The 11006-nt window shown below is 34.5% G+C and overlaps 1 pseudogene across 1 annotated transcript in view; it reads right to left on the bottom strand.

Moving 5' to 3' along the window:
- Positions 1–380: 380 nt before the first annotated feature.
- The window catches only part of CEP170P1 (centrosomal protein 170 pseudogene 1), a 37880-nt pseudogene continuing 27254 nt past the window's right edge, over positions 381–11006 (bottom strand). Inside the window, exons 5-8 of the transcript NR_003135.3 lie at positions 10181–10269; positions 3413–3506; positions 2295–2346; positions 381–774 (exon numbers count right to left, since the gene is read on the bottom strand). The product of NR_003135.3 is annotated as a centrosomal protein 170 pseudogene 1 (transcript). The remainder of the gene's footprint in view (positions 775–2294; positions 2347–3412; positions 3507–10180; positions 10270–11006) is intronic.

Genomic DNA, 11006 nt, shown 5'->3' with positions numbered 1-11006 from the left:
TGTGTCCAATGGTAATGAGTACTAATATAAATCCTATTATTAAGAAGCAAATAGAATGGTTTAACAAATCTGTACAGATGAAGAAGTCCATTTCAGGGAGCAGCTTGGCACAGGAGACATAGGGGTTCAGAAATGTTGGCTATTTAGTTTGCTTGTAGGTCACAGCATGGCTTAAAAAAAAGAAAAAAGATCTATGAAGGGAAAGGGTGTAATCATTAAATTCAATTTGAAAATCATAAAACCACAAAAGGCGACACTGCCACAATCTGCTTTTTCCTATTTGTGCATCAAGTGGTTATCTAAATAGTTCGAAAGGATTGACATACTACATTATACGTCAAAAATAAATAAATAAAATTAAGAAGACACGGATTCCAAGATTGTAGCTGACCAAGCTGTCTTGTTTTGCGTACGTCAACACTATGCTGCTTCCAATATTCCTAGTCATTCCACAGGTAATGATTTTTCAACAATCAAGAGAAAGTCATTTATGTACTGTAACATCTTCCTCTTCCCCATCAGGGTTGACTCTATTGAAATGTATACTGAAATCAGCCTCAGATTCAGCATTCTCAAATTCAGCTGCGGCTGAAACAGCAGCAGGATGAAGAGCCCTAGCTTCTGGTTGGCCAAGTGTTGGTGTCTGACCCGGGCTGTGGTGGTTATTCACAGGGCTGGACTTCTGTTTCGGTGGAGATGGCAACATAGCACTGGGAAATCCCATGTTGTTCAGAGCCTCCAAAGTTCCATCAGGATCAATCATAGCATTGATTGCTAAAGGGCGGGAAAAGGAAATAATTCTAGATGCAGTTACATTCACATATAAACACTGTTCATGATTTGGATAATATTTAAACTATCAGTGCGTATGTGATCTTAAATGTGGCTAATCTTCCAATATTATATTTAAAACTCCATTCTTAGTTATTCTGTAGCTGTACTGTAAATTACCCAGCCCTGAATACTTTCTCTGGGTCCTTTGATGTGGCACTTACGGGCATTTCAGAGACTTATAAGTCTGGTATTTGAAGACGTGGAATTCAAGAAAAATCTTGTTGAAATTTGTCTTCATTATTGTGAGAGGATAGAGAAAATACTGAATATGATTTTTAATAAACATCTAAACCCTATTTATCACTCAGATAACTGAGGTATTAGCTGCTAAGTCAGGGTTCAGAGTAACCTCAAGGCTGGAGAGGCCAGAAGAACATCAGCATACTTTGAATGCTACCATAGAATACGGTCATTTAGCCTGGCCAGAGTGCTAGGGTATCAGCTGTATATACCACTGAGATACAGGGGTTCCCTCAGAGCCTACAGACTAATATCACAGGGCAGCTTGCAAAGCCAAACAGACTTGCTGCCTGTGTGGAAGGGGTCAGTTAAAGGTCAGCTTTCAGTCCAAAAGATCTTTGGGTTGACATGGAAAGTTCTCAGGCGGTGATTTTCAATTTGGCATTGGGCAGAGTAGGGAGTTGGGAGAAGGAAGTAACATAGATGTAAGAATCATGTAGAAGGGACTTTTAAAAGTATACCCCCAGTCTACCAGCTAACAAGCACTGTGTTAGCAAGCCACTTTTACTCATGGGTTATACCATAACCCTTAGGTGTGTTGGGGCTAAATAAAGATGAAAAATCATTTTGATAGGATCCACATAAGTACCTATGATTATTCGATAGATAAAGACTCAGTAGAATTAGCAGTTGACTATGGAACCTGCCTGTTGTACCACTGGGGACTTCTGGGTCAAGACATACATAGGCATTAATGCACACAGCCCAGCTCTGACAAGTTTAGAGGGCAGCCTCTTTCACTTTCTTCTCTCCTTTCTCTTCTGGTCTCTATGGCCAATATGTACTCATTTCTTGTCAACCAAACAACTATTATTTCTATTAGAATGTAAGTTTGTTTCAGGTTACACCACCAACATAATTTAAGAACTGTCAAATCACACAAATAATGCTAATTAACACAACTTTATTACATATTTTTCACATATTATTTATATGTAATACATAAAAAATTTCAATTAGTTTATGACATCTAGCCTATTGTCAAACCTATGAACTAAAATATGCCCAACATATATCTTTATTATATTTTAAATTTTTATACTGGGTTTAAAAAAATTCCTTTTTATGAATAATGTGAATGTTTGAACTCTGTATTTTATGTATGTCATTACATTTAATCAAATAACATCCTAACAATAAGAATATTTTAAGAAATACCACTCAGAAGGCACTTATTCTAAATTATTAGCTCTTTATACTTAATTCAGTAGTAAATTTACCTTGTAGCTGCTTTTCTACTCTTTTCAGTTCCTGTAAGATAGAAGAAATCTCCTGCAGGGAAAGCAATAACAAAAATTAGCCTACTTTTAGCTAAATGTTATCACTTTACAAGCAATGAATTTCACTCTCACTTTATTTGGAACACTTAATATTATCTACATGGTACTTACTACATTAATAGCAACATGATATGAAATAATTATGATATCTAGCAAACAAGATTCAAATTAAAATATTTAAACTAAAATGAAATAGAATAACTTTTTCAATGAGATGATTGTAGCAGATGAAAAGTTTAAAGTCATTTACTACTATTTAAGCAAAGACTTTTTTTTTTTTTTTGAGACCGAGTCTCACTCTGTTGCCCAGACTGGAGTGCAATGGTGCAATCTTGGCTCACTGTAACCTCCTCCTCCCAGGTTCAAGTAATTCTCTTGCCTCAGCCCCCAAAGGAGTTGGGATGATAGGCGCCCGCCACAATGCCTGGCTAATTTTTGTATTTTTAGTAAAGACAGAGTTTCGCCATATTGGCCAGGCTGGTCTTCAACTCCTGACCTCAAGTGATCCACCCTCCTTGGCCTCACAAAGTGCTGGGATTATAGGCGTGAGCCACAGTACCCGGCCGCAAAGATTTTTAAAATTCTTATTAATCAACCTTGCAATGACTATGTAAAAATGCCTTCAAATTATCTTTGTAAAAACATATAAACTGCAACCTCAATATTATAATTATATTCTGAGCAATGAAAATCTGTACAAATTCTTTTAAAAAGAAGATAAGCATTATATTAAGTAAACGGAAACGACTTATGTCAACTTAATATTTTCATGTTAGATTTGGTTCTCTTTAAAAATTTCATGTTTCTAATGTTTAATTATTACAAGAACAATCTACACTAGTAAGAAACACAAAAGGCTCCTCCTTCATACCCTCTGCAACTTTGAAACAATCAACATTTTAAACCTGTGAGTCAGTAGAAGAAATAAAATTTCCCAAAATTTTGCATTTATATCTTCTTTTGAAAAAGCAAATCAACGAACAGCTCAAAAATAAGGGTCTTTTCCTTAAAATAAAACCCTATTAAAATGTTTTAATCTTCAAGAAAAATTACTATACCATGCTCGAGGTTTTCACAATAGGGACTTCACTTTCGGCTCTTAATTTGCTTTCTATGTCATCCCAATTCCGATCTTTGTCTTTAAATAATATTCTATAAATCAAAAAACATAAGCATATAACTTTTTATATTTTAAAAACCTATTACTTTTTTGTTAATAATACCAAAGCAATGTATCTTTTCAAAGGTACACAAAGAAAAAAAACCAACCATTGCATAAACTGAGAATTAAAATACTAAGCCAACAGTACCAATTAATTCATGTGTATGAGCTCCAATTGAATGCTTATTAATACATGCATATATTCTTTACCGTTTATCTTATTCTTTATTGAAAACAAAATATAAAACAAATGTAAATGATGTTATGACCTCAAAACTTTAATATTTATAATTTACAATACAGTAATGCCCTCTTATCCACGGTTTCTCTTTCCATGGTTTTAGTTAGTGGCAGTCAAGCATGGTCCGAAACTATTACAGTATTTTGGGAGAGGGAGAGAGAGAGAGAGAGAGAGAAAAGACCACACTCACATAACTTTTTTTTACAGTATATTGTTACAAATGTTCTATTTTATTATTAGTTACTATTGTTAATCTCTTACTGTGCCTAATTTATAAATTAAACTTTATCATAGGCATGTATGTGTAGGAAAATACACAGTATATTAGGTTTTAGAACTATCTGTGGTGTCAGGCATCCAGTGGATATCTGGGAACAACATGTATCACCTGGGTATAAGGAGAAAAGACTGTGTAACTGTCACTTATAAAGAAAATGCAATTTTATTCAGACAGAATATATGCAGTATAGGAATAAGTGAGATGAAAATAGGTTGAATTAGGTATAAACAATTGTGTCTGTTAAGACCTCTTTATATAGGAATAAGCACCTTATCGATCAAGAAAAGTGTCTATATTATTTTAAAGACCAAAAATTGGGAGTACTTACTGTGCTTTTCTTTAACAATTGTTAATTCGTGTTAGTATACTTGCACATAATAACCTATTAGGAATTAGGATGCTATCCTTTTGATAAAAACAATTGCCAATAAAGATAATTATCCTATCATTACCCTAACATCAAATAACTTATAAAATAAAGGACCACAAAATTTTGACGTGTCTTTCAAATGTGGGACACTTTTCTAACACTTTAGAGTCTATCAGACATGATTCAGCAGTCTTAGAAAGATGTAAATACTAGCTACTTTTTTGGTTTCTTTTAAAATTTTTTCAGTAAGTCTGGAAATCTAGTTTAAACAACACTATATAACCTCATGTAAATGTATTACTACTGCAAGCTGATCAGCATTTAAGTAGTAAACTAAGTTAATATTTGTGCTGGTATTTCTTCAAAGATCAACATGCCAGACTTACCTTATTTAAAAACATGAAACTCATTAACATCACATCAAGTCTGGAACATTTGCTTAAGGTGGCAACGGGTCTAGAATCTGGTATAAGAATATTCTTATGGCCTACTTATTAAATTTTCTAAACTCAAAAAAATGAACACCCTTGCCAGCCATCTTTTCTAAATTATTATGTTCTTGTAAAAGAGTCCTTGCAGCATTAGGACTGATGGAAAATAAGGAAATAATGACTATTTCATGGACCAACTTAGAACTGTAATGGACTTATACAATAGAGAAAGACTCTGTTTAGCCACACAGTGCTAAAAATTCAGTGAATTTTTCCAGAGGATGGCTACTGAGTATAGTGTTTGTGGATCTAAAACTGTTAGACCATAGACATTTCACCTTTGGTGAAAATGGGTTTTTCACGGGTTGCCCCTGAAAAAAAAATGCCCCCCTGAAGAAATAAATGGTTTATTTTAAAATACAGTTTGTTGGCCAGGCACAATGGCTCATGCCTGTAATCCTAGCACTTTAGGAAGCCAAGGTGGGTGGATCACTTGATTCCAGGAGATCGAGACCAGCCTGGGCAACATGGCGAGACCTCGTCTCTATAAAAAATACAAAAAAATTAGCCAGGTGTGGTGCAGATGCCTGTAGTCCTAGCTACTAAGAAGGCTGAGGTGGGAGGATTGCTTGTGCCCAGGGAGATCGAGGCTGCACTGAGTGAGTGAGTTGTGAACATGCCACTGCACTCCAGCCCATCTCAAAAACAAAAAACAAAAAACAAAAAACAATTTGTAATATGTAATAGAACAGATCTAAGAAGTCAAACTTGTCATTTTGGCATTATGAAATAAACTTTACTGTAATATTTACTATAATATTTAATATTTAAATACTAGAGAATCAGAAAATCAGACCAAGAAATTAGTTTAGACCAGGCTATAATGATCAGAACTTGTTTTTGTTTGAAGGTCCTTATCAATTTTAAGCTGAAAAAATCATAGCTTTCAAAGTGATATTCAGATTATATTATAGATTCAAAATAAGCTAAACTTCAGCATGAAAATACATAAAATTCCAAAGCTTATTTCATTCAATAATTTAAGAATTAAGTTAAATACTTTTGATAAAGCCATTGGTTTTAGGGAAACAAACAGAAGTCTCAGGCTCCTATTCTACGAGCCATAACCAATTCCCTAGTACTAGCCCTTAAAACATGCGAACGCGGAGTTGCGAATTGAGAGTCTACCAATGCAAGGCCGTGCTACACAACCTAAGGGGGTCATTTTCACATGGAATGCAATGAGAATGCTGTACAACAGGAGTTCCTGTATAAATATTTAAAAATTGATTCCACAGACAGTGTTCATACAATGTAAATACGCATGCCTCTAGGATGAACCCCAGTAGACATTTGAGGTTATAACTCCTGACACAAAGCTTAAAGACCAGTTGATTCTCAAACTACCCTGGCACTTTCCATGCAGAAGGCCCAGGTCTCTACCCCTTAGGTTTGGTTATCACAACTCAGACCTACCTTTGAATAGTATCTTCTTCCCAAAGCCTTCCCTAAATCTCCTAGGTGAAAGTGATCCTTCCTTTGCCTTTATATCTCTAACTGAGCACTAATCTATTATACGCTATCTTGTATGATAGTTGATTGTATATGTGCTTCACCTTGCCAACTACACTGGAAACTCTTTAATAATAGAAATGGTTTTATCCTCATTACCTTCCATAAAGCCTGCCATAGTGCTTTATGCATAGTAAAACTCAACACTCGAACTGAAGGCAATTCAAATACATTAAACATTCTGTATTTATGTATAACTTTATTGAGGCATTTTTATGCATCCTTTTTTAAACTTTATAAATTCTGTCACTTTCTGAGACAATACAGTTTATCAATCCATCAGCAATGTCTTCTTTGTTCTCAATTTTAGTTCAATGTCAAAGCTACAAAAAATATTGTTCTTTGGGGGAGACTACAGAATGTAGGAAAGCTGCTCCGTGGTAAGGAAGAGAATGGTACACGGCAGGTAATCTGTGAACATCTGCTGAATAAATGAATGAGTGGTTAAGAATCCAGTTATCAGGGACGGACCTGTATTTCAGTAGGTAGGATGAAAAAACATTGTGTACTTGTTTACAGGTAAGGAGACTCCAGGGTTTTCCAGGTGCAAGCCACATGACCATACAAGACTGTCATGATGTTTTTACAGATAGCACTGGTGTATCAAGAGGACCCATATTGGATATATTAGCTTCCTATGGTTTTTAATGATAAAATCCAAACTCCTTAACAAATTCTGCCAAAACAGATTCATCCTCATCTCTCTAGTGTCATCTCTCACCATACTCTGGCCCTTTCACTTCACATAGCTTTTGAGTAACACCTCTCCTCATCATTCAGGACTTAAATTGCATGGCAATTTCTCTAAGAGCCCTTCTCTGAATTTCCCAAGTGCCCTTGCTATGGGCTTCCGTAGTAACCATCCTATATTTCCCTTAACACACTGAACTATAATTACCTGTTTACCTGCCTTCTACACTCAAATGTGAGGACATCAAAAACAGTGCTAGACAAATAACATACAGTCAAAAATCATTCAATGAATGAATGAGTCTGGAGACTTTATTCCCATATAAGATGATCTTAACCAATATTTATTTCATTTATTTATTTCTTTGGTTAATAATCCTTCCATAATGCCCCAGCTTTAGAAAATAATTTTAGTGGAACTAAAATAAAAATGATAACAATTATATATTACATTTAACTACAATGAATGCTTGAGCCAAATCATGATATTAATAAGCAGCTGTGTGATTGAGGCCTATAGATTTGTTTATTCATGTGTAAAAACTAGTAAGTTAAGCTTAAAATTTTTTTCCCTACAAATTTCAGTTAGGCTTTACCCCAGGGAATGGTGGACTTCATTTGTCTCTGGCCATAGGATATATTAGCAAATCATAGGTGAATGGGTTGCACGGTGAAGGGGATTCTCTTACTTGTGAAAGAAGTAAACCCAGGAATGATGGAGTCACTAGGGGAAAACATGTACTATATCTCACGTAAGACAATAATAGGGTGCTAATTACTTAATCACTGAGTGTGAGTAAAAGAAAAACAATGGACTCATTTATAAGCCCTATCAGGATTTATAAAATGTGGTATTTATAAACAGCATGCAACTAATTTAATTTCTCTAAAATCAATTATAAGCCTTAAAATTTTTTAGTTAATAAGGTTCCAATTTATACCTGAAATTAATATTGTTATTATACTTTTTATCTCATCAGTGTAACCAGTGATTTTAATAATAAGAAAAAGTTGATGCAGGTTATTGGGTTTCAAGTGGAAATAGAAAATGTGAGTAGTAAAATACAGGTAATATTCAAGTGAAATAATGAAATTAAGTCAAATCATGTGTAGATAGCAGAAATAGCTAACTTAATACAAGCTGATTGGTTTACATGATATAGAATGTAAATTTCATGAGAACAGGGGTCTTTGTTTTGTCAATGTCTAATTATAAAGTACCTAGAATGTACCTAATACTTATTTGTTAACAAGTAAATATTAAAATATTATTCTGTAGAAAATTAAGTCTATTTAAAATTCATAAGAATATATGGGAATTGATAAAGGTAAATTCTCTTTAAAAAACAATGGATAGGTACGTAATGGTAGTCATTAAAAACACCTTCAACATTATTTATATGTACAAGGTACTCTTTACGAAAAGCCAAACGTTTTAAACATTCTATTGCTGTTTTTTGAGATAGGGTCTTGCTCTGTCGCCCAGGCTGTGGTGCAGTGCCATGATCATGGCTCACTGTAACTCTGAACCCATGAGCTCCAGTGATCCTCCCATTTCAGCCTCTCAAATAGCTGGGACTATAGGCATGTGCCACCATGCCCAGCCAATTTTTTTTTTTTTTAATCTCGCTTTGTGGCTCAGGCTGGTCTTCAAGTCCTAGGCTCAAATGATCTGCCTGCCTTGGCCTCCCAAGGTGCTAGGATTACCAGGCATGAGCCACTGCACCCAGACTCAGCTATTTTTTCACTAAGGCAGCATGCCTCATATGCCAATCAAATATGGAGGGGTCTGTCAATACATTTCACTCATACTCTTTGGGGAAAGTAAAGATCTAATTAAGAGAAAAGATCAAGGTACAAAAGTAGATAAAATATGATCATGTTTGTATAAACCTTTGAGAAATGAACCCAGAGTGGGGAAACACACCCACTATTAGATATAATATATATTTTTCTGGAATATTTATATTTTTTAACCATGTTCATGTATTACTTTTGCTAAAAAGCTATACATTTTAAAATAAATAGAAAAATGGGACAAGACAGTGCAGAATACATTACTTTTAACATAAGGAATTTTATATTAATATTCTTTTAGGAGGCAATAAAGTGAAGAGAAAGTCTGGTACACCTTTAAGAAATTATTATTTATTTATTTATTTGAGACAGAGTCTCGCTCTGTTGCCCAGGCTGGAGTGCAGTGGTGCGATCTCGGCTCACTGGAAGCTCTGCCTCCCGGGTTCACACCATTCTCCTGCCTCAGCCTCCCGAGTAACTGGGACTACAGGCGCCCACCACCACGCCCGGCTAATTTTTTTGAATTTTAATAGAGACAGGGTTTCACCGTGTTAGCCAGGATGGTCTTGATCTCCTGACCTCATGATCTGCCCGCCTCGGCCTCCCAAAGTGCTGGGATTACAGGCGTGAGCCACCATGCCCGGCCACCTTTAAGAAATTTTTAAGATACAGGCTCAAGATAAAAAGAAAGCTCTTTCTGTTTCTTAACATGCCAAGTAAAATTTACCTATATAGGCCAACTTTCTACATTTCCTTCTGAATTTCTCAATTTTTCTAGAAGATGATGCAAACTTCGTTTACAGTAACTTAAAACAGATTGCTTTAAGTTAAATAGACTGTTTTTAAGAATACTTTAATTTTTAAATGGTGCTTTTGAAATTGTTTTTGAAAAAATTTAATGGCTTCTTGGTACTCATCAAATGCTGATAAAATATATTATTTCAATATATAAGCAATATAGAATTATATTTGTGTGGAATATTACAATTCACAAACCATGTTCAAATACTGTTTCATTACATTTTAAATTTTAATTATAGGAATCAGAAATAAGCAATAGCAGCATGGATTTCTGAAGTACTGTTGAATAAAATCTGTAAGTCTATTTATGTTTTGAATTAGTAATAAATTTAAAGTTACAAAGTAGTACTGGATAGATATTTACTTTGGGACAAATTTTTCCAAAGGTAAACATATTCATTCTGATGACACATTTTTAACCTTGAGAAAAAGCAAAAAGCAAAGTGAGGTGATATTAAAGTTAAAGCTATATGTACATGTACCTGATCTTTCCAGCTGTCTTATCTATAGATTGTCTTATCTTCTTAGAGAACTGAAAGACGGATGACAGCAGCAGATTATCTCCCATGACCTGAAACAGCCAAAGAAAAAAGTAGATATTAAAATATTACCCCTGTATTGTATAACTACTGAGATCACTAGTCACAAGTCACTATAGTTAGGGGCAGTTAGTATTTATGCTTATTTTAATTATAAACCAGTGAAGAATATAATTAATATGTAACTAAAGAGAAAGTGAAAGAAACACTATTAACAAAGGAGTTCTTATTATTAAATAACTTGTCAAAGTTTCCGTATTATTTTGGTCATATCAGTTTCCAAACACAATCCATTTTATCCTCAGTTTATCTTCAATTACTATTGTGATCCTGTCTCTCTTACTTCCAACTGAATTATAAAAGAGAAGATACAAATAACTTAGAGTACTAAATTTATTATTTATTCTTTCACCAAGTAATGTGAATACAGAAATCAAGAAGAGTACAATCCTTGTTCTCCAGCAAAGAGTTTAGTGGGAAACATACATTTTGAAAAATTTACGCAAAATAGTAAGTTTTTATACTGGGTGTTGGTATTACTCCAGTTGAGATGCATGGGCAAAACCAGGGGTCACCAATCTCTGTAAAGAGCCAGAGGGTGAAGGTTTTAGTCTTTGAGGGACATAGGGTCTAAGTAATGTGAATACAGAAATCAAGAAGAGTACAATCCTTGTTCTCCAGCAAAGAGTCTAGTGGGAAACATACATTTTGAAAAATTTACACAAAATAGTAAGTTTTTGTACTGAGTGTTGGTATTACCCCAGTTGAG

This window comes from Homo sapiens, chromosome 4 (assembly GCF_000001405.40).
Source record: "Homo sapiens chromosome 4, GRCh38.p14 Primary Assembly".
Lineage (NCBI taxonomy): Eukaryota > Metazoa > Chordata > Mammalia > Primates > Hominidae > Homo > Homo sapiens.
The sequence above is the reverse complement of the archived record's forward strand: the minus strand, read 5'-3'. Positions and strand labels throughout refer to the sequence as shown.